The sequence below is a fragment of the Homo sapiens genome, chromosome 4, assembly GCF_000001405.40.
Source record: "Homo sapiens chromosome 4, GRCh38.p14 Primary Assembly".
Taxonomy (NCBI): domain Eukaryota; kingdom Metazoa; phylum Chordata; class Mammalia; order Primates; family Hominidae; genus Homo; species Homo sapiens.
In genome coordinates, this window is record NC_000004.12 from 112,635,843 (window position 1) to 112,658,446 (window position 22,604).

Sequence of the window (22,604 nt, forward strand, 5' to 3'; positions counted from 1 at the left end):
ATTGCAAGATAAATTCTCCATTATTTTCCTAAATTGAGATATTACTTCTGGAATGTACAGTTTAAAAAGAACTAAGAAGACTGAAACTCTTAAAGGATGGTTAAATTCGATTATAGGAGAAAACCTAAAAAAAAAAAGCTAACTGGATCTTTTAAAATTTAGAAGAGCTCTAATACTTATTCATTGAAAGTCAACACCCTTTCTTATCTTAGTATTAATCAGAAAAAATTATTTTAGACAACAGCATCATATATATTTAAGTGAGATGCAAAGAGTTTTTTCCAAGTGTTCATCTGTCCACGTCTACCAGACAATTCACCTGTTGACCGACTTCTAATAGGTGAAAGATTAATCTCCAAATAAGTTTTTAAAGACCCCAGATGCTCTGTGATAATTATATACATACATACATACACACAGATATACGTACATACACACATATACATACATATACATTGTGCTACTATATGTACGGACGCAATATATATACATAAAACTCGGTGTTCTCAGTAAAGTATGAGCCATTATTCATTTAAATACTAGATATTTTTCCTTTTTTTTTAAACAAGGAGTATTTTTTGAACCTAAACCTGAACCTCTAAATAGTTCGGATAACAAAGTTTTGGAATCATGAACTCAACATTGTTAACAAACCATCCAGTCCAAATAAACAAAGGAAACCCACATCTCATTTGCCAAGATTCTAAGAACCATAATCCTGTCACCAAATGACAATGGAGACTTGATCCTTTCTCAGTCCTAAATACAAACAGCAAAGCCCTCTTTGGTCCTCATACCTACTCGAAATTGCAAAGCAAGGCCTGGGAAAAACGGTGAAGAGGCACCACTTACTACAAGCAGTCCGAGTAGCTGTGACTGCGACCACCCCAATCCTGGTTCCAAACAGCATCCTTCCCGGTTCTCTTCTTAAGGAGCAGAGTCTTTCGTCCCTTCGCCCCAAATCGCTCAAGTCATTCCTAGGAAATCCCGAGAAACACTTCACCTCACCTGTCAAATTGCACAAAATCCACTTTCGAATTTCTCCCGCGAAACAACGTGACGTCATTAACGCGGGACCTCACCAGATGAGGACCCAAAACTTGGCCCGCCCACCTCCGCCTAAGCCAAAAACCGCCGCTTTCAAATCGCCAATCAAATTCTTCCTTGGCTTCGAGTCTCTCAGCCGGCCGCGCTCTCCGATGCCCAGCCCTCCTGGAACCACCTCGCCTGTGACGTAGGTGGAGCGCGCACTGCCTCCGGGCCCGTCTTTCTCAATTGGGACCGGAAAACGTTGTCGCTCATCCTATGACGCGAAAGTAACCGAGACTATCAGGATCCGGAGACGGAAATGTCCGAAGGCCGCAGTACTTGACCCTGTATTTTGGGAGTCGAACGGAGTAAGTTACAAGCGGCCTATAGGGTCGCACAGCTTGGGCGAAGTCTAATTAACTCTCCGTCCTTTTTCTTGCGGTCCACTCTATCATCTATCGTCCTTCTTACCCCGCCCCCCCGTCCTGCACACCCATCAGTTCCTTGGCCTAGTTATCTATGCGCACGCGCAAAAGTCTTCGGCAGCACTTGTAGTTCCCGTTTTCAGACAGTAAGGGCGCATAGGGGCCCGGCGTGGGGAGGTTTGGGGCGCGCCCGGCCTATGACGGCGTCCTTGCGGAAGTACGGGTGCCGAGAGAAGCAGTAGTCAATAAAGAGAGTGCCGTATTTCGCAGATTGGAGCTGAGCTGTGGCTGCCAGAAGATAGCGAACGTGAGGATTTATATTCTAAAATTATCATCTTCTTTTGCAGGACTCTGCCATCGTCCTCAAAGAGTAAAAAATCCAGTTACGGAAGGGAACTAACACTTGCTAGATATGGTGTGCAGAGTGCGTTTGCAAAGAAACTTAAGAGAAAACAAATGATAGGACACAGGGTGGTGGAAGATCTCAAAGAGTAAGATGCCATTTAACCTGGGCCTTGAAAATTTAATAAGGAAATTTAGACGAGAAGATTCAGACAAAGCAGAACACACAGGCCACTACGTGTTGAGGGACTTGAGTTGTAAGCAGTGACCAGAACAATGATTCTTAACCTGTTGTGGCACACTTCTTTTGAAAACTTAATTATATGGATTAGCTTCTCAGGAAAACGTGCATGTACCTATTAAAACATTTTGCGAGGCTGGGCACGGTGGCTCACGCCTGTAATCCCAGCACTTTGGGAGGCCGACGCGGGAGGATCACTTGAGGTCAGGAGTTCGAGACCAGCCTGGCCAATATGGCAAAATCTCGTCTCTACTAAAAACACAAAAATTAGCGGGGAGTGGTGGTGCACACCTGTAGTCCCAGCTACTCAAGAGGCTTGGTTGGGAGAATCGCTTGAACTCGGGAAGCAGAGATTACAGTGAGCCGGGATCGCGCCACTGCACTGCAGCCTGGGCCACTGAGAGAGGCTGCGTCTCCAAACAAACATTTTTCATATAATTTCCTCAGGAGAAATTACGAAATACTTTTAAATAGCAAACACACACAAATGACTTGGTGTCTTGTCTGACTCACTCTTCCAAGTTATCTATGTCTTTCGTGGTCTTTGAACTATTTTTCAACCCTGTAACTCGCTACAGCAACATGGAAATTAGGTTTGTCCAGTAAAGATGCAATTAATTATTGTCCTGAGCAGTATTTATTAATATTCATTTCAACGTTCCTGATTGCCTGTGTACCTGCTTTTTAAATTCTCCTTTGAACTGGTTTTTAGCACTTAACTGGTTCCCTTATTTACAGTCAAGCACCACATACCGACAGACCGCATGTATGACAGTGGTCCCATAAGATTATAGGTGAGTAATAGGCAATAGTACCTAGGTTTGTGTGAATACATCATAGAATAACTACATACTCAATGATGTACTTACTCACCTGACTGTGCATTTCTCAGAATGTGTCCTTGTCGTTAAGCAACCCATGACTGTGCTTAAATCTTTACCGTGTATTCATTTTATATTTGTACAAGAGTCTTGATTTTACCTTATCTTTAAAATGTATCATTTACAATTTAATGGAGCCCACTAGAATTCTTGTCCAGCCAAAGTTGCATGGACTTCAGATTAAGAATTCCTGAGTCAGAACATAGAGTCCGTGGTGATAAATTGCGGGAAATTCTACCAAAAGGTAGACAATGTGGGATCAAACATACCTGGGACAACTTACTTAGCTAGCTTTGGCCAAGTCACTTAAACCTTTTTGAGTTTTTGTGTTAAGATGGAAGAAACTGCTACCTAGTGGGATTGTGAGGATTTACAAAAGTGTATATAAAGTTACTGGTATTGTTACCCAATAACTTTTATTCTTCATTTAAAGCCAGTTAAATGTTACTTTTTTTTTTTTTTTTTTTGAGACGGAGTCTTGCCCTGCCGCCCAGGTTGGAGTGCAGTGGCACGATCTCGGCTCGCTGCAAGCTCCGCCTCCCGGATTCACACCTTTCTCCTGCCTCAGCCTCCCAAGTAGCTGAGACTACAGGCGCCTGCCACCATGCCCGGCTAATTTTTTTCTTTTCTTTTTTCTTTTTTTGTATTTTTAGTAGAGACGTGGTCTCACCTTGTTAGCCAGGATGGTCTCCATCTCCTGACCTCGTGATCCGCCCGCCTTGGCCTCCCAAAGTGCTGGGATTACAAGCGTGAGCCACCGCGCCTGGCCAAGTGTTACTTTTTTTTTTTAAAACAGTGTTTTCATAAACTGCATATTATGTTACGGGAAGGTGCTAAGGAATTTCTAATGTTGCAAGTTTTGACAGAAGCATCACAAAACCAGGTCTGTGTTTTAGATGGGTTATACATAGGCTCCTGTTGAGAATGGGTGACTTACAGAACAGTTTATAAACTATTGGCATATTCTAGTGACAGTTGTAGCAGTAGTTGTAGAAAACACTGGATGGAGATGAGAGCCATTTCAAAAGTCAAACTGATAGGATTTAACAAGAGATTGGATAGAATAATTGGATAGAATTATTGATAATTGGATAATTATCAATAATTTATAATTATAGATTATCAATTATAGAATTATAATTATCAATTATAGAATAATTGATAATTATAGCCTACGTTTGTGTTTGTTCGTTTTTGAGATGGAGACTGAATCTGTCTCCCAGACTGGAGTGCAGTGGTACGATCTCGAATCACTGCAACCTCTGCCTCCTGGGTTCAAGCGATTCTCCTGCCTCAGCCTCCCGAGTAGCTGGCATTACAGGCATGGGCCACCACACCCAGATAATTTTGTTATTTTTAGTAGAGACTGGGTTTCACTTTGTTGGCCAGGCTGGTCTTGAACTTCTGACCTCAAGTGATACACCTGGCTCGGCCTCCCAAAGTGCTGGGATTATAGGCGTGAACCACTGCACCTGGCCTATTTGTATTTTATTTACATCCCACAACCTTACAAAGAATTTGAAATGCTTAACACTTTACAGGTACTTTTAAATTTGTTTTTTTATTCAACAGATACTTAGGTACTGATGAAGTTAAAGTTCCTGCCTTCATAGTGTCTACATTCTGGTGGGATAGGTAGACAATAAAATTAAAATTCCAGGCCGGCCATGGTAGCTCACACCTGTAATCTCAGCACTTTGAGAGGCCCAAATGGGCAGATCACTTGAGGTCAGGAGTTTGAGACCAGCCTGGCCAAAATGATGAAACCGCATCTCTACTGAAAACAAAAATTAGCAGGGTGTGGTGACAGCTGCCTGTAATCCCAGCTACTTAGGAGGCTGAGGCAGGAGAATCACTTGAACCTGTGAGGCAGAAGTTGTAGTGAGCCAAGATTGTGCCACTGCAGTCCAGGCTGCACAACAGACTCCATCTCAATAAATAATTAAAAATAAAAAATAAAGTTATAATTCCAGGTAGTGACAACAAGATACAAGAATAAAAAATAGTGACTGAGGCAGTGGACGGAGTTAAGGTCAGCAGGGAGGGAATATTTTAGATTGAGCGGAAAGAGGTAAGTCTCTCTAAGAAGTGACATTTGCAGAGACCTAAGTGAACAAGGAAGTAATTCATACAGATACGGTAAGGAAGGTAAAGGGAGCAACAAGGGCAAAGGCCCTGAAGTGGGAATGGCTTTAGCATGTTTAAAGAACGAAAAGATGGTTGTTATGTTTGGACTGAGCCTGTTGGCAAGAATTGTGATAGATGAAATTAGAGAGATCCCCAGGCCAGATTATTTAAGATCCAGTCAACCACAGTAAGGTTTTTGGACTTTATTTTGAGTGTGATAAGAAACCTCTGAGCTGGGCGCGGTGGCTCACACCTGTAATCCTAGCACTTCGGGAGGCCAAGGCAGGCAGATCACCTGAGGTCAGGTGGCCAACATGATGAAACCCCGTCTCTACTAAAAATACAAAAAAAAATTAGCCAGGCGTGGTGGCACATGCCTATAGTCCCAGCTACTTGGGAGTTAAGGCAGGAGAATCTCTTGAACCCAGAGGGGGAGGTTGCAGTGAGCCGAGATCGCGCCACTGCACTCCAGCCTGGGTGACAGAGTGAGACTCCGTCTCAGGGAAAAAAAAAAAAAGAAACCTTTGGAGGAGTTTGTGTAAGGAATTGGCATGATCTGATTTACATATTTAAATGGTAATTCTATCTGGAGAATCGATTATAAGGGAAGAAGATTAGAAGCAGGCAGACTAGTAATAAAGTTCTTGTAGTTGTTCAGACAACGCAGTAGTAGCTTGGACCAGGTGCTTATGATGGAGGAAATGAGAATTATTCATATTTGGGATATATTTTAAAGTTAGAGCTAACAGAAATACTGATGAGTTGACCATGAGGTGTAAGGAAAAGGGAAATTAAGAATGATTTTAAGGCTTTTGCCTTTTCAGCAATTTTGTAATTGGTGTTTCTGAGATAGGGAAAATTGGTGGGAGGGGATTGTTAGCACTAGAGAGTCCTATTTTCACCATGTTAATTTTGAGATATCCTTTAGATAAACTAGTGGAGGTGTCAGGTGGACAGTTGAATATTGGAATGGGGAGCTAATGGGAGAAGATAGATTTGTAAAGCATCAGCATAAAGCCAATGAGCTTAAAGCCAGGATCCTCAGAAAGAATGAGTGTGTAAATGAGAAGGAAGCCCAGGACTGAGTCCAATTTAGGCATCATGTAAAGGTGTAGGGCACAGTGGGAGAGGTAGGGTGAAAGGAAATTGAGAAACTGAGATTGCAAAAGGGAATTGAAAAGGAAGAAGACTCGTTTGGAAGCTATATGAAGAAAATATTTTCAAGGAGGGAGTTACCAACTGCATTTGCTGCTGAGAGGTCAAGTAGACAGTGGAGCACATTGAGGAGCTTGTTTGCAGTTTCTCTAGAATGGTGATGAGGAAAACCTGACAGGATGGGTTGAAGTAAGAGCATGAGGTGAAGAACATGGTTGTGTGGTACTCAATGACACCTCATTGTTTTTCTATTATTAATTCTGACCTATAGTTGTGTTTTATGTCTTAAGCTAGCATCACCTAAATATATCATTACTTGTAAAATTTCAAAATTGGTACTTGATTGATCTACTGAAACCTAAAATGCCAAAATGTACTTCTGTTGAGTTTGATGAGAATGCATGTTTAGTTGGAGATTTGAGGTGAAATGCATTAAGGGCTTTGTACCCTCTTACTGGATATCACTTTGAAACACATTATCTATTTCTGTTACTATCAGCAGCATCACTGTAGCAGTTAGAGATTCTAACCAGCAGTCAGACTCAAGAGATGCAAATACTGCTTACCAAAGAAGAGTCAAGGCAAAAGATAGGGTAGATGCAGCTTCTTCATCCCACCAGAGGCCACCAAGCCATTTACCCATATCTAGCAATTACCCAAATTCACTACTTTTTTCTCCCATTTACCCACAACAGGCATGTATGCCTTCCCTAGATAAGGACCATGGTGTATTTAGGACACTTTGACACGTGAAAGCTTTAACCTCTTTTGCCTATCAATCTGTTGTTCTGGTCACGTAGGCATAAGGCCTCCATGCCATCTAATAGCTGCTCCAAACCAGGTGCAACATGGGAAACAGATACAACACCCCCATTAGTCTCTCCAGTTTCCAAGAAGACTGTATTATAGGAGACTGAGGTTATTCTCAAGCAGCCTGTATTATCCCAGGCCTGATATTAATCCTTTGCTCCTATACCACTAGTGATTCAATTCATTCAACAAAATCGAGGCACAATTTATTCAACACATTTTTAAGTGACTGTATGGCAGGGACTGACAATATATCAGTAAACAAACAAAAATCTCTGATTTCATTGATCTTACCATCTAGGAAGGATAAACAACAAAGAAATAAATTGCATAGTGGTGATAGTAATGTTAGAAGATGATAAATGCTATGAACAAAAATAAGGCAGGGGAGTTACTGTGTATGTATCCAGAAATTTGCATTATTAAATATGATTGTGGGAGGGGACCGCACTGAGGTGACATTTAAATAAACACTTGAAGTAGGAGAGCAAGCTGTGTTATCTCTGGGGATATGTGTTTCAAAGAGAACAGGTTTAAAAGACCCCGTTAGACATTGCTGGGTGAGCTTCAAGAAGTGCAAGGACTGTATGGCTGGAGCTGACAAAGCAAAGGGGAAGAGATACTGAAAGTAACTTGAGGAAGGAGGGGGTTAGAAATTGCTGCCCAAGAAATAAACACTGGGATGAGAAGGCCACTTGAAAAGGCTGATTTATGGCTGGGCGCGGTGGCTCACACCTATAATCCCAGCACTTTGGGAGGCTGAGGCTGGCGAATCACCTGAGGTCAGGAGTTCGAGACCAGCCTGGCCAACATGGTGAAACTCTGTCTCTACTAAAAATACAAAAATTAGCCGGGTGTGATTGGCAGTGGTGCCTGTATTCCCAGCTACTTGGGAGGCTGAGGCAGGGAGAATCGCTTGAACCCAGGAGGCAGAGCTTGCAGTAAGCTGAGATCATGCCACTGCACTCCAGCCTGGGCAACAGAGGAAGACTGCCTCAAAGAAAAGAGAAGAGAAGAAGAAAGAGAAGAGAGAAGAGGCTGATTTCTACAGCTTACCAGTTGAATTCTGCCCCTAGAAAGCAGAAATTAACATTTTAAAAATCAAAATTGCCAGGCGCGGCGGCTCATGTCTGTAATCCTAGCACTTTGGGAGGCGGAGGCGGGCAGATCACCAGGACAGCAATTCAAGACAAACCTGGCAAACATGGTGAAACCCCGTCTCCTACTACAAATACAAAAATTAGCCGGGCATGATGGCATGTGCCTGTAGTCCCAGCTACTTGGGAGACTGAGGCAGGAGAATTGCTTGAACCCGGGAGATGGAGGTTGCAGTCAGCCAAGTTCACGCCACTGCACTCCAGCCTGCACAACAAAAGGGAAACTGTCTCCAAGAAAAAAAAAAAAAGCGAATACAACTTCTCTGGGGTGGGGCGGGGGCGGGGGGGTGTTGCGATGGAGAGGAGGGGGTGTTGCGATGGAGAGTGTCCACGTCCCTTAATCTTACACTTTTCACTTACTGACTTAAAAGTGCAGCTTAGTGAGATAAAGGTGTAATTTTTTATATTATTCTAGGATAATCTGGCCCTGTGTTTTAAAAGGTACAAAGAAACTAAAGCTATGATCCCTAACATAGAAGGTAAATTATTTTTAAATTTAATTTATTAAATATAAAAATGAATGTTCTTTCTGTTTGTCTTCTGATGGCCAAATGTGAGTCCATTATTCTCTCAGACAGTTAAAGGCTAATCTAAATATTTAACTATATTAGCTATTGTGGTGATTTAAATATTTACATCTTTTTCTTGTAATTCACAGGAATGGAAACTGAAAGTGGAAATCAGGAAAAGGTAATGGAAGAAGAAAGCACTGAAAAGAAAAAAGAAGTTGAAAAAAAGAAACGGTCACGAGTTAAACAGGTGCTTGCAGATATTGCTAAGCAAGTGGACTTCTGGTTTGGGGATGCAAATCTTCACAAGGATAGATTTCTTCGAGAACAGATAGAAAAATCTAGAGATGGATGTAAGTTTGCTTCAGTAAAGGAACCAATTTTTAGATATGGTTGCCTTTAAATTTACTTATAAAATAATATATTCTTTTTTTTTTTTTTTTTTTGAGTTGGAGTCTTGCTCTGTTGCCCAGGCTGGAGTGCAGTGGCATGATCTCAGCTCATTGCAACCTCTGCCTCCTGGGTTCAAGTGATTCTCCTGCCTCAGCCTCCCGAGTAGGTGGGACTACAGGCAAGCACCACCATGCCCGGCTAATTTTTGTATTTTCAGTAGAGATGGGATTTTACTGTGTTGGCCAGGCTGGTCTCGAACTCCTGACCTTGTGATCTGCCCACCTCAGCCTCCCAAAATGCTGGGATTACAGGCGTGAGCCACTACACCCAGCCTAAAATAGTATATTCTATAATGTGTATATTCGTTTCTGTAAGTGTGTTCCGTGTAATCTGTTCTAATTTTTATTTAGTGAATGACAATCTTCTAAATAAAGACTGTTGGTAACAGTTTAGGCTATATTAAATAAGCAATTTCAAATCAAAGCTTTTAAGTATTTTGGGATTTAATTGCTTCAATAACCATTCATCATGTGTAACTCGAGAGTGCTATACTTTAGTTCATACAAGAAGGCATTTCACCTAGCTCAATGTTATTTTTTGTTTCATTTTTTTGAGGCAAGGTCTATCTTTTTTCCCTAGGCAGGAATGCACTGGCTCCATGTCTGCTCACTCCAACTTCTGCCCCCACCTCCACCCCCTCAGCCCCACCCAAGCGATCCTCCATCAGCCTCCCCAGTAGCTGAGAACACAGGCAAGCATCACCAGGCCGGCTTTTTTTTCTGGCATTTTTAAGAGATATGGGGTCCCACCATGTTGCCCAGGCTGGTCTTGAGCTCCTGAGCTCAAGAGATTTACCTTCACCCCTGAATTGCTGAGATAAGAAGCATTGAGCCACCATCCCCAGTTGCTAAATTTCAAATAGCCAACCTTGTGCTTGTTTCTAATAGGATGGGATCCAGATGTCCTCTTTGAATGTCTGGGTATTGCTAATAATTTGTGTTCAAATCTTAATCTGCAGTTACATACACTAAAATGTGTCATTTTAGGTCGCCAAATATGCAATGCCATTTAGACCCTCATACAGTTTTTTTTTGTTTGTTTTGTTTGAGTCTCTTTCTCCCAGGCTGGAGTGATCTCAGCTCACTGCAACCTCTGCCTCCTGGGTTCAAGCGATTCTCCTACCTCACTCTCGAGTAGCTGGGATTACAGGCGTGCACCACTACACCCAGCTAATTCTTTGTATTTTTAGTAGAGATGGGGTTTCACTATGTTGGCCAGGCTGGTCTTGAACTCCCCCATCCACCCGCCTTGGCCTCCCAAAGTACTAGGATTACAGGCATGAGCCACCGAGCCTGAGGGCCTGAGGGGCAGGTTAAATTGTACCAAATTGAATTAATCCTGCTGATACACTAACATATTAACTTTTTCATTTTCTTTAGATGTTGATATATCACTACTTGTGTCTTTTAACAAAATGAAAAAATTGACTACTGATGGGAAGTTAATTGCCAGAGCATTGAGAAGTTCAGCTGTTGTAGAGGTAAGAATCAAGAATAACTACTGTTTATATTTATAGTTTATAATTATAAAGAATGTTAACGTAATGATTATTATATGATTATAGCTTACAATTATAAATAATATTAGTTTTATTAATGTAATATACTATTTTAAAGCTTGATTTGGAAGGCACCAGAATCCGGAGGAAAAAACCTCTGGGGGAAAGACCAAAGGATGAGGATGAACGCACAGTGTATGTGGTAAGCTTAAGAACCCGGGTCCCCAGTCAGAAACTGGCACAGAAACAATATAATTAAGTTAAAAATTTATTGACATTCTGATTGTGAAAAACTCTAATATTGCTTTTAATTTATAATAGGAGTTACTTCCCAAAAATGTTAATCACAGCTGGATTGAAAGAGTATTTGGGAAATGTGGCAATGTTGTTTATATAAGTATACCACATTATAAGTCTACTGGAGATCCAAAGGGATTTGCGTTTGTGGAATTTGAAACAAAAGAACAAGCAGCAAAAGCAATTGAGGTAAGTCCAGATCCTAAAAAAAAAAAAAGAAAGAAAAGAAAACAAGTATTAAAATAGTAACTTTTGCAATCATTTCAGTTTCTTAACAACCCACCAGAAGAAGCACCAAGAAAACCTGGCATATTTCCTAAAACAGTGAAAAATAAGCCCATTCCAGCCTTAAGAGTTGTGGGTGAGTATTTTTCAATATTTAAATAGGTGTAGTTGAAGTAAGATGAACTAATAATGATGGCACTTTTACAGAAGAGAAGAAAAAGAAAAAGAAGAAGAAAGGCCGAATGAAAAAGGAAGACAATATCCAAGCCAAAGAAGAAAACATGGACACAAGCAACACCAGCATCAGTAAAATGAAAAGATCCAGACCCACATCTGAGGGCTCTGACATTGAGTCCACTGAACCCCAAAAGCAGTGCTCAAAGAAAAAGAAAAAACGGGACAGAGTTGAAGCATCTAGCTTACCTGAAGTCAGAACAGGGAAGAGGAAGAGAAGCAGCTCTGAAGATGCAGAATCCCTAGCTCCCCGATCAAAAGTAAAGAAAATTATTCAGAAAGACATCATTAAGGAAGCATCAGAAGCTTCCAAGGAAAATAGAGGTAAAACTACAAGGTTTTAATTAGATAAAACTAATTAATTTTAATTAATTAGTTTTTAATTAATTAGGTTTTAATTGGCTTCTGTTTCACCCATTTCACAGCCCCATGTCTTAACGGAGAGCTTTTTTATTTATTTCAAGATATAGAAATCTCTACTGAAGAGGAAAAGGATACTGGAGATCTAAAAGATAGCTCTCTCTTGAAAACAAAAAGGAAACATAAGAAAAAACATAAAGAGAGACATAAAATGGGAGAAGAAGTTATACCATTAAGAGTGCTATCAAAGTAAGTCTGTGGTTTAAATTCTGTCATTGGCTTAACAATCCATCACCATTGCTAAAGTGCAATTCCAATTTATATTCAACAGAGTTGCATATTAGCAACAGTAATGGCCTGTAGCCAAGAACTGCACACAGTGTGGGCGTTAACGCAATTGCTGATTAGGTAGGAACCACCACACTCAAACATGGAAGCACTTATTTTTGTCATGTCACAGCAAGTGCCTCCATGTTAAAGTAGAGGGGGCCCCTTAACAGATGTAAAAATACAAAATAAAGCTTAAATATATGAGCTGCGGTCAATACAATAAAGTTATTTTCTAAAAAAATAATAAAAATGTAAAAGGAAGACTTACCATCACCAAAACATGGAAGCACTTACTTCTTTAGTTTCAAAGCAAGTACATCCACGTTTAAGTGGTGGGGAGCCCAGTCTTGGAAAAAGTTAGAATCCTTTAACCTGTAACAAGCTTAGTAACCTTAAAACACAATAACAAAAAAATTTTGTAACAAAAGGTGTGCTGGCTTGGAGACACCTCCACTGAAACATGGAAGCACTTACTTTTGTTTCACACAGCAGGTACCCCCATGTTAAAGCAAAGGGGATCCCTTCAAATGAGGTTAGCGTGTTCTATTTTGGAGAAGTAAATTGGATTCACTCCTACTAAAACATGGAAGCACTTACTTTTAAAGTCACAGAAAGCACTTCCATGTTAAAGTTGAAGGGAGCCCACCCAACATACAACTTCTTTGGACTTCAGAGTATTTAGAGCTGAGGAGAAAGAAAACAAAATGGCATAACTTTAGAAGAAAAAAATTTTTTTACCTTCCTGAACTAGTTCCCAAAGATTCGTGTTCTCCTCCAGAAGGGTAAAAGGCAGGGACTTCAGCCACTTCTATTTATACTATTCTTAACTCTTGAATTCCTTTTGCCTTTTTATCTCAGAGAATCATTACAAGGGCCTTTTGTTATTTTAATGTATCAGCTCTCAGGGAATGTATGATCCTGGGTGGGTCTGGATCCTTTTTTTTTTTTTTGAAGTATACAGATGTCAATGTTAACAGCTAAAACCATTACCACAAGATATCTTCCTCTTAAAAAAAAAAAAGAAAAAGAAAAAGAAAATCTCCTATCTGCTTGTTTGATGGCATAGATTAGGGTAACAATGAGTGCTCCCACTGAGCCGAGAAAGGCATTGTGTTTCTATCTGGAGGAACTCTGTTTGAAGAAGCATCTACATGTTAAATGTATGTAAATAAATAGATTGCTTCCACGGGGTGTTTTGTTCTACTTAGAAATTCTTTTTGATTCAAGTAAATACTAAGGAATGTTATCTCTCAAATTGGAAGCAGTTTAACAAATCTTTAATCTCGCCCTTTTCCCACAGAGATGACTGATTTAGTAAATGTTACTAGTTAAGGAATTAATGCTAAAATTTTACTTTTATAAATTAAAATACTTCAGACACTCAAAAATTTAATTGGCAATCTTAAAACATTTAATCTGAATATTGGGGGAAGAGGAACTCCCTTAGCTTATTTTGCTAAATGTCTTTAGAACCTAGGAAATATTTTGAATATGTGTTTAAAGAAACAGGAAAGTTGGTGGAGGAGTTGCTCCAAGTCATTGTGAATGTATATATTTAGATATTTCCCTATTTACTTTTTATATTTAGTCATCTGTTATCACCATTTCTTTCCTTGTAGGAGCGAATGGATGGATTTGAAAAAAGAGTATTTAGCGCTACAAAAAGCTAGCATGGCTTCTTTAAAAAAAACAATATCCCAAATAAAATCAGAGTCAGAAATGGAAACAGACAGTGGAGTACCTCAAAACACTGGAATGAAAAATGAAAAAAGTAAAGATCACTGATAGTTTTGACAACATTATAATGTACTTATATATGTAAATGCTATCTCTGAGTTGTTATAAGATAAATTTTAATTTTAAAAAACTTGATTATTCTATTTCATTATTAGAACAATTCTTGATTTGTTAAGTTATCCAGATGTGTTACTTACTCTTGATATAAGAATATTTAAAAGGCTCATTTAAAACAATTTTTTAAATAACCTGAGTTTTCTCTACAGTTTTCATCAAGCACATGAGTGCAGAGTTTGCAGACTGAGCAAGTTTGTAGGAATGAAGATTGTAGTTTCTCACCTGTTAATTTCATTCTGTAGTATGCACCACAAGCAGGAACAAGTTAAAGCAGAATTCCTATGAATTCAAAATTAGGATACATTTTAAATTCTCATTTCTTGTAAAAATAAATGTTCACGTTTGAATAATAATGTATTTAAAACACAGTATCCTTTAACTTTTTTTTAACTTTATTGAGTAAAAATTTACTGTTCCTTTGTTCAGGGAGAAGGGGCAAATTTAAAGGCTTTACGAATGCTCTTCTAGCAGTAACAATTTGCATGTAGAATAATAAAACTTTCTGAGTTTTATTCATGGTATTTTGAAATAAGCAGTATGACATATAACCTTTAATTGTTTACTTTAAAATTAAATACGTTTTAAATTATTTAAATCTGCCTCAGGAATTATTCTAAGGTAGTCCTCCTAAGTATTAAATTGTTGTTAAGTGTAAGAGATTTAGTCCTGGTCTTTTTCCTTTTCTAATCAGCAGCCAACAGGGAAGAGTGTCGCACCCAGGAGAAAGTTAATGCAACAGGACCACAGTTCGTGAGTGGAGTGATTGTGAAGATCATTAGCACAGAGCCTCTACCTGGCAGGAAACAAGTCCGGGTAATGATTTTGAGCCCCTAGGGTATTTGTTCCTTTCTTCTCTTATTATTTCCCTGTGTGAAAATGTTTTGAATATGGAAGATAAAACAAATCAAGTTAGAATTTGTTTCCCTATGGTAAACTACTGTACAGTTTTAATTCCATGGTAACTCTTAGGTTTAATTTTGAAGCAAAATCTAGAGGCTGAAATTCCTCACTAAATCTATATGTAAGCACAGTTTAAACATCCTTCTCTATAGGAAAATTGTAACTTTTGCTTATTTTTATTGGCACTGATTTTTTTTGTATTACCTATGTGCTGATTATCTTTAAAATTTTAATTATAGAAAAGTAAAATATTTTTGAAAACCTCTTAAAATTTTTCACGCATGTGCCAAAAAACCCATACTTCTATATAATTTACGCTACAAATTGCTGTACATACAGGTTTATAATTTTTTCGCTTTATACAGTCTATCTTCTGTAGCCTTTTATACCACATTGGTAGCAATACTTTCTATTAGGGAAATTATATACTTTTAGGTGAGAGTACCATATCTTATTTACCCTTACCCTGCCTGTCACCCATTTAAGTGAATCCTTTTCTTTTTAAAAAGTGTGAAATGCTCTGTAACATACCACATATTTTAAGTATTTTCTTATACTGACATTCATCATCACTTAGTATGTTGTTTTGGTTTTACGTAGACTCATCAGTCACAGGTTTTAACTTGAATACCATTGAGGTGGTGGTTTGTTTATCTGTAAGCCCTCCTTATCTGAAATACTGTCCTACAATCCTATAGCTGTCACTAAGAAACAAATTTTGATCCTCTTTGCAATGTTGGTGAAGGATTTGGCCAAATCCAAATTGCTATTACCAGCTTGCATTTCAGGAGACAGCTGAAAATTGAGGGATGTAAATACTGCTCTGATTAATCAGATTGCAAAACATTTAATACAAAAATTGCTCAGAGTTATTTCTAATCAACTCATTAAATAACTTCTGTTATTTAAAGGGTAACTTTATCAATTACAAATTCATCATTTATGATCATCAAAATCATAAAATCAATCCCTGCATTAATCCAGTTAGTAGTTACTTACATTTTGCTGAAACAAAAACTGAGCTGTGTTGGTTACAACTGTCTGTGACTTGCCCATGTGATTACCAGGCTAATTTGTCATTCTATGGGTTTTAAATTCTAAGGGTTTTAAATCAAGAGATTAGCCTGACATTATAATGGATATTTAGTATATATCTTTTGAGTTGTAGTAATTGAATATGCTCAAAAGTCAGTTATAAAACTCATTACTACTACTGAATGCATTCAAATTTCAACAATACTGAGTTTTTTACTTGCTTTATATCTAAATTTGGTACTAATTAACTAGGTAAAGAAGTGGGAAGGACTAGCAAGTGTAAGTCTCTGCAGTTTTTTTTTTTTTAATTTGGCAAACAGTTACTAAATGCCTGTTTTGTGATAGTTGCTGAGTGTTGGGATGAGTTAAGATCTAGTCCCTGGCTTCTAGAAACTCACAGATTTTATTATATATTTTTTATTATTAACTGATAAACTTTTCTTATTCTATGATGAAATAATACTTCCAGGTATTGCTCAGTTCTTTCCGTAATTCAAACATCTAAAAATTCAACATCTGAAAGTAATGTAAATTAGTTATGTCTGAAATTTTAGGTCAAAACGAAAGGGAGGCAAGATAAATAAGATTTCCCCCCCCCCCCCATTTAGCAATCTCCAGTTACTTCTTTAGCTTTATGAATGGAAGTTGATGAATTAGGAATTAGTGTAACATTCCTGCATAAATGCATTGTATACTCTGTAAAACCTGCTGTGAAAAAAAAAGTTGATTAAGAATGCAGGAATCTGGTTAATTTGCCCTCACAGCAGGCAGTGTAGGTAAAACTTTTCCTTGCTGGGTGACCACAACTTGTTTAGAAGAGGTTACTTAGGTATTTTTTTCAGAAAGTAAGAGCTCTTGAACAATGTGGAAATCTAGTATTTTAGGTTTGGTTAAACTGTTTTTCATGAGTTGTTATTAAAAGTGGAATGATTTGTACACATATTTTAAAGTCATAGTGATTTTCTACAGGTGAGTAAAAACAAACCTCCCTTAATCCTTTTTTTTTTTTTTAATTTTATTCCTTATACTACTCCCAGATGTGAACGCTTCCTGATTTGGGGGTTGGGGGACACTATTTCTGCTTTCTGCTCTATAAATCTGTTGTCCTTATAGAATATTCCCATTCTAGTGCAGATTTTAAGGATGTGATTTCAAGAAAATAAATGAAAATAAATTACTAGAGTTGATATTATTCAAATCTATTTTTAAGAACATGCTTTACAGGAAATATTTGATACAGGATATTTGCTCCTCATTAGACTGCAAAATGCTTTATTTACATAATATATTCTGGCATAACCATTGGAATAGTTTTAGAATTATTGTGAAACTTTTTAAATTTTATTTGTCTTTCTACTTAACTCTAATGCAGGATACTTTGGCAGCAATCTCAGAAGTTCTTTATGTTGATTTGCTAGAAGGGGATACAGAATGCCATGCTAGATTTAAAACTCCTGAGGATGCTCAAGCAGTAATAAATGCCTATACAGAAATTAACAAGAAACACTGCTGGAAACTCGAGATCCTTTCTGGTAAAACTTCATAGACGTTTCCTTTTTTTTTTGTTATCATCCTTATTGTGAGTAATATATTTTCTGAGTTTGGCTAATGAAACTAGTTTTTTTTTTTTGGTCTTGCTCTGTCGCTCAGGCTGGAGTACAGTGGTGTGATCTCAGCTCACCGCATCCTCCACCTCCCAGTTTCAAGCAATTCTCCTGCCTCAGCCTCCAGAGTAGCTGGGATTACAGGCGTGTGTTACCACGCCCGGCTAATTTTTATATTTTTATTTTATTTTTTGAGACAGAGTTTCGCTCTTGTTGCCCAGGCTGGAGTGCTGTGGTGCGATCTCGGCTCACTGCAACCTCTGCCTCCCGGGTTGAAGTGATTCTCCTGCCTCAGCCTCCCAGGTTAGCTGGGATTACAGGCATGTGCCACCATGCCCCGCTATTTTGCATTTTTAATAGAGACGGGGTTTCTCCATGTTGGTCAGGCTGGTCTTGTCTCGAACCCCGGACCTCAGGTGATCTGCCTGCCTTGGCCCCCCAAAGTGCTGGGATTACAGACATGAGCCACTGCACCAGGCAATTTTTATATTTTTAGTAGAGAAGGGGCTTTGCCTTGTTGGCCAGGCTGACCTCTGGTGATCCTCCCTCCTCGCCCTCCCAAAGTGCTGGGATTAGAGGTTTGAGCCACCGCACCTGGCAAAACTAACTATTTTTTTTCTATTCTGTAATATGTGTAAAGTAGCATTAAATATAATCAAAAACTGTCCTAGTTACTATTATTGAGAATGTAATGCCTTGAATATGGTTTTTCAGATATGTTCTTCTTTTCATCCATCAGAGTCTTTGTTTGTTTTTAAGGTGATCACGAACAAAGGTATTGGCAGAAGATTTTGGTTGATAGACAGGCAAAACTTAATCAGCCTCGGGAAAAGAAAAGAGGCACTGAAAAGGTAATTGATTCATTTTTGTTTTTTTAGACTAAACTTTCCTTGAACGTTTAATGCCAAAGTCAGTACTAGGTAGTCATAAAATGATCGTAGTTTTGCTATTACCTAACAAAAATTTACTGAGTATATACTATGTTTTAGGTTGGGAGGGAAAAGTCATTTCTCTAGATTTCAAAATGTATGAAATTGAATTATTTTTCTCACAAGGATACATAATTTTAATTTAGATTTTTTCTTTTTAACCAGTGATATACTTTAACAGTCTTGATATCTGGCTGCTATGTCTTGTAGTTTGGTGATAAATGATTATAGAAAGATTATCTTCATGGTAAAAACACAATGTATTCAGAATGTAGTTTATAAAGATAGGAGGCTCCATAGATAAGATGGAGAGACTTTATGCATAGTGTTTCCTATAGCAACGATAAGCTTTATTCCTCTTTCTCTAAGATAGTAGGTAATACAAACAAGCTTAAATAATTTAAAGCAAGCCCCTCTTTCAGTAATTTTATTTTTCTGTCACTTAAAATGATACTGGTCTGATCAGTAGTGGAATCACACCTGGGAATAGCCACTGCTTTCCAGCTTAGGCAACATAGCAAGACCCTGTCTCTTAAAGTTTTAAAACAAATTATTATACATGTAAAGGTTAGTACATTTTAAAAGTGCCTGGAACAAAGTAGGGTACATAATACCTAATATTAACTACAGTCATCAAAATTTAGAAATGCATATTATAAAAGTGTAAGAAAAATGAAAAAGATGAACTTCCTTTTTTGTTAGGTGAGCAAGTTAAAAGTCCTATTTCCTGTAATCTAAGCTTGTTGATTTGGGGTCATATTTATACAAAAAAAAAAAAAAACTAACTTAAAAAGCAAGTGTTTTTCATCAACCTTCTTCTACCATTGCCCAGAATTTATCGTGATTTGTGGGGAGGTGTGAATTTTGTTTCCTTGAAAGGAGACTGAACTTGCTGTGGTGGGGAAGCCTCCTGTGCTTCCCAAGGATTCTTTCAGGGATATGAGGTGTTAATTTCAAAGCCAGTTTGAGATTATTCAAATGTTAAAATCACTAATCCAGAACTGGTAACTGAAGTGAAGTCACTTTGTTAAATAATACCCTTCTAATTGGTGTGAAATTTCATTTAGATTTTATATATTTTTAAAACTAGGAATAAACCTTTTATTTTTCATTTTAAAAATTTAGAGCTCATCTTTGACTAGGAAGTTCTTAAATTGAGTTGGAACACAACTCAGTTATGACGTCAGGATTGTCGTTAACGCAATTTGTTAAGTAGCTATGGAAGTAGCCAGTTGACTCTTGTCGTGAAATGAAACGGAGGTTAACACAGAAAGTAAGTGCTGTGCAAAGCTTGTTGGAAAAAAGGAGTAGACCATAATTAGTTTAGCCAACTTGTTTGCTAGTTAATTCAGCTAATGATTTTTGAGTGCCTTGTGTTAGGCACCATTCTTGGAACCTGGGGTAAAGCCATGAATCACAAAGTCCCCTACTTTCATGAAGCTAACAGATAAACAATATAGTTTAGGTGATGACCAGTGCTAGACAGAAAAATAAAGTGTATTGCAGGAGAGCATTGTAACAGCTGAGGTTGTCTGGAAAACTCTCTGCAAAGGTTATGTTACAGCCAAGACCCATAAGGAAGTGAGCGAGTAAGCCCCAGTAAAGTTTAGAAGTATAGCTTTTCAGGCAGAAGCAAAGAAAATGCAGAGACCGGAAGGGAAGACTGTCAGGGACTAGAAGACCAGTGTAGTTGGAGTACTAGGAGCATCTTAGTAAGTAATGGAAATTGCTTAGAAAAAAAACTAGTAGAACATCAGTGAATCTGCCAAAAGGTTACATAAATACCTTACTGACCTGACAGCCCAATATTTCTACAATAGTGTTGTATTTGGCCCATAATTGAGTAAAAGTAAAAAAATTCTGGCTCTTAATATTCACATTATGGGGCCAGGCACGGTGGCTCATGCCTATAATCCCAGCACTTTAGGAGGCTGAGGCTGGTGGATCACTTGAGGTCAGGAGTTGGAGACCAGCCCGGCCAACATATTGAAACCCTGTCTACTAAAAATACAAAAATTAGCCAGCTGGCACGCACATGTAATCCCAGCTACTGGGGAGGCTGAGGCAAGAGAATTGCCTGAACCTAGGAAGTGGAGGTTGCAGTGAGCCAAGATGGCGCCACTGCACCACAGCCTGGGCAACAGAGCAAGACTCTGTCTCAAAAAAACGAAACTAAAATAATATATTAAACACAAGTAAATTAAATTAGTGATGTATCACAAAAGATCAAGAAGATGAAGGAAAGGTCTGCCAAAAGGGATGTCTCCTATTCATTTTGCTAGCCTAAATCTTTGTAGTATGCCCTATGATTTTGAACACATTGGTAAAAATAGATAACAGCTACTAGAGACAGAATGAAGCTTATTTCTCTTTGGCTTTTAAAACATTTGAATTCTTTTCTGTAAAAATTACTGATACTCAGCAGGTAAAGGCAGAATTTATAAAATTTGTGAACAGCAGCATGGGTATGATAGAGTTCTAAACATCTTTGGATTTTAATTCACCTCAATGATGAATAATAGGCTTTTAGTTTAATCTAAAAGTGAATTCCTTCCAATTGCCATATGGTACCAAACACTTTAAAACTATTTAAATGAATACTCATTAGAATCTATATTTTTTAGAGAAAAAGATTTGCATTTACTCCAAAGTTTAATATTTTAACTTTTTTTTCTCAAGGAAGCTTTTGGAATATTTTAGACATTTTAAACAGTTTTCTTTTTTATTCTGTGTAATTTCATTTGCCTTCCTTAAAAATATTCAACAATTTATGTAAGGGTGTAAGAAATAGGAAATAGTAAATAGCCTTAATAACAGATTTGATTTGTAATTGATTTGACCTGAGCATAATTATCTCATTTGTCATCTTCTCGCTGTTTTTAAAAAATTTCCATTTAAGCTGATAGCTGTGAAATTTTTTCTAGTCATAGTTTTGTGTGTGTGTGTGTGTGTGTGTGTGTGTGTTTTGAGTATCCAATACATTTTAATTTTTGATTTATTTCTCTTTAGTTAATCACCAAAGCTGAAAAGATTAGACTGGCAAAGACTCAACAAGCGAGTAAACATATAAGATTTTCTGAATATGATTGAAAAAAAAAACAGTTCACCTCTTAATACTTCACAAGATACTTGAGCTGTTCTTGGGAGATTCACTTTTATTATGGTAGCACTGCATAATTAATGTGTTTTTAATTAAAAGAAATATCTTTGTTCCTCAACTTGTAAATAAGACTTTTTTCTAGAGACAAATATGATGTATACCACAATTTTTCTTAAACATTTTATTTGTTGAAATTATCTTAGATGTCAGTGTCAGGTGATTTAGTAAATAAATGTGTTTTGAACATTATTTGGAAATGTGTTGATTTTGTTTTTATACTGTAAAAACAAAACATAATTGCAAAAATACTACATGAATATATATAAAGTTTAGAGAAATGTTTAACACTAAACTCTCACTGTACTTAGTTTGTAACTTGCAATACCTTCAATACCTTTTCATGTTGATTTATACAGACATGTTTAATAGTTCATTCTATTCATTCCACTTTGCCTATCTGAGCTTCCATTGAACAATAGACCATAGGGATTGGTTCTAATTAAAATGTTAAATTTTTAAAAGAATTGAGTTTCTTCATAAATCAAGTTAAATGTTTTGTTTTGGTTAGACAAAATAAAATGTATTAGGTGCTATTAGCACAAGAAGGAAAAAATAGAGGAATCAACCTTAGGCAGAACTGAGCTCTGTTATTTTATTCAGGAAAATCATGGGAGTGAAGCATTTAAAGCCTTCCCAGAATTGAACTTAACTGGGTCCATACAGGACTGTCATCTTAATCTCTTATCAAAATCTCAAGGAAGTACTCTGGACAGCCATGGAGTTAATTTCATTGGGCTACAAACCAAATCCTGAATCTGTCAGCTTTATCCAAAATTGAGGGTCTTATTTGGCCACCCCCTTCCATGGATTGTGGAGAGGCTACAATCAGGATCTGTTCACTTCTATAAGCCAAATATTTGAGGAGATTGGCCATCTCACTGGTTGGAGTGACAGCTAATTGCTACAAAGTTAGTGCCATGGCAAGTTCCCACTCACCCGCTCCATGAAGTTTTTCTCTTTCCATGAAGGAAAGCTAGCATATGCATTTTCATGGAGGAGAAGGAAGATGTATAAATAGTTGCTAAGTCCTATTATGAGGATTATAACTA

The 22,604-nt window shown here is 37.8% G+C and overlaps 2 protein-coding genes, 1 long non-coding RNA gene and 5 other non-coding genes across 49 annotated transcripts in view, besides 5 other annotated features; 1 reads left to right on the plus strand and 7 right to left on the minus strand.

Annotated features, from left to right (window-relative positions):
- The window catches only part of ZGRF1 (zinc finger GRF-type containing 1), a 97,571-nt gene extending 96,504 nt beyond the window's left edge, over nt 1-1,067 (minus strand). For 14 of the 24 annotated variants that reach the window (XR_938764.2, XM_047415917.1, XM_047415914.1 and 11 more), the window contains exon 1: nt 1,009-1,067. The gene's annotated coding sequence lies outside the window, so the exon portion shown is untranslated. Of the gene's footprint in view, nt 1-852 lie in introns of all 24 variants that reach the window. The other 10 variants (XM_047415916.1, XM_047415910.1, XM_047415918.1 and 7 more) reach the window with 1 other exon arrangement.
- Nucleotides 864-1,083: an enhancer, noted in NCBI's record as "active region_21831". NCBI's record gives its function as "activates an Ori minimal core promoter by ATAC-STARR-seq in GM12878 lymphoblastoid cells {active_cell/tissue: GM12878}" and the evidence as "EXISTENCE:reporter gene assay evidence [ECO:0000049][PMID:35858748]".
- LARP7 (La ribonucleoprotein 7, transcriptional regulator) lies at nt 1,301-21,744 on the plus strand. 17 transcript variants are annotated; one of them, XM_047415769.1, is made up of 15 exons: nt 1,301-1,397; nt 1,802-1,945; nt 2,776-2,831; nt 8,826-9,029; nt 10,509-10,609; nt 10,746-10,829; nt 10,949-11,113; nt 11,192-11,285; nt 11,357-11,707; nt 11,809-11,992; nt 13,693-13,844; nt 14,619-14,740; nt 17,235-17,394; nt 18,226-18,317; nt 21,405-21,744. In XM_047415769.1, exons 4-15 carry the CDS (start codon nt 8,828-8,830, stop codon nt 21,483-21,485), a joined length of 1,788 nt encoding a protein of 595 aa, XP_047271725.1. In that variant the 5' UTR covers nt 1,301-1,397; nt 1,802-1,945; nt 2,776-2,831; nt 8,826-8,827; the 3' UTR covers nt 21,486-21,744. The 17 variants fall into 17 exon arrangements, with proteins under 17 accessions (XP_047271725.1, XP_047271727.1, NP_001253968.2 ...); XM_047415771.1 differs by having other exon boundaries at nt 11,848-11,992; NM_001267039.4 differs by lacking the exon at nt 2,776-2,831 and adding an exon at nt 8,583-8,646 and having other exon boundaries at nt 11,848-11,992.
- Nucleotides 1,654-1,703: an enhancer, noted in NCBI's record as "active region_21832". NCBI's record gives its function as "activates an Ori minimal core promoter by ATAC-STARR-seq in GM12878 lymphoblastoid cells {active_cell/tissue: GM12878}" and the evidence as "EXISTENCE:reporter gene assay evidence [ECO:0000049][PMID:35858748]".
- Nucleotides 1,744-1,853: an enhancer, noted in NCBI's record as "active region_21833". NCBI's record gives its function as "activates an Ori minimal core promoter by ATAC-STARR-seq in GM12878 lymphoblastoid cells {active_cell/tissue: GM12878}" and the evidence as "EXISTENCE:reporter gene assay evidence [ECO:0000049][PMID:35858748]".
- Nucleotides 7,863-7,964: a silencer, noted in NCBI's record as "fragment chr4:113564861-113564962 (GRCh37/hg19 assembly coordinates)". NCBI's record gives its function as "represses an EF-1alpha promoter that drives an FKBP-Casp9 reporter gene in an ReSE screen in phorbol 12-myristate 13-acetate-treated (for megakaryocytic differentiation) K562 erythroleukemia cells {active_cell/tissue: K562(+PMA)}" and the evidence as "EXISTENCE:reporter gene assay evidence [ECO:0000049][PMID:32094911]".
- Nucleotides 10,878-14,209, minus strand: MIR302CHG (miR-302/367 cluster host gene). 3 transcript variants are annotated; one of them, NR_146092.1, is made up of 3 exons: nt 14,150-14,209; nt 12,671-12,757; nt 10,878-11,126 (listed from the first exon to the last, which is right to left on the minus strand). It is a non-coding gene; the product is annotated as a miR-302/367 cluster host gene (long non-coding RNA). The 3 variants fall into 3 exon arrangements; NR_146093.1 differs by lacking the exons at nt 12,671-12,757; nt 14,150-14,209 and adding exons at nt 11,573-11,625; nt 12,812-12,861; NR_146094.1 differs by lacking the exons at nt 12,671-12,757; nt 14,150-14,209 and adding an exon at nt 12,812-12,861.
- Nucleotides 12,032-12,099, minus strand: MIR367 (microRNA 367). The gene has a single exon (NR_029860.1). It is a non-coding gene; the product is annotated as a microRNA 367 (primary transcript).
- Nucleotides 12,162-12,229, minus strand: MIR302D (microRNA 302d). The gene has a single exon (NR_029859.1). It is a non-coding gene; the product is annotated as a microRNA 302d (primary transcript).
- On the minus strand, nt 12,341-12,409 carry MIR302A (microRNA 302a). Its single transcript, NR_029835.1, has one exon. It is a non-coding gene; the product is annotated as a microRNA 302a (primary transcript).
- On the minus strand, nt 12,521-12,588 carry MIR302C (microRNA 302c). The gene has a single exon (NR_029858.1). It is a non-coding gene; the product is annotated as a microRNA 302c (primary transcript).
- On the minus strand, nt 12,643-12,715 carry MIR302B (microRNA 302b). Its single transcript, NR_029857.1, has one exon. It is a non-coding gene; the product is annotated as a microRNA 302b (primary transcript).
- Nucleotides 13,029-13,751: an enhancer, noted in NCBI's record as "OCT4-NANOG-H3K27ac hESC enhancer chr4:113570027-113570749 (GRCh37/hg19 assembly coordinates)". NCBI's record gives its function as "activates a minimal SCP1, AML or CMV promoter by ChIP-STARR-seq in naive H9 embryonic stem cells {active_cell/tissue: H9 hESC(naive)}" and the evidence as "EXISTENCE:reporter gene assay evidence [ECO:0000049][PMID:30033119]".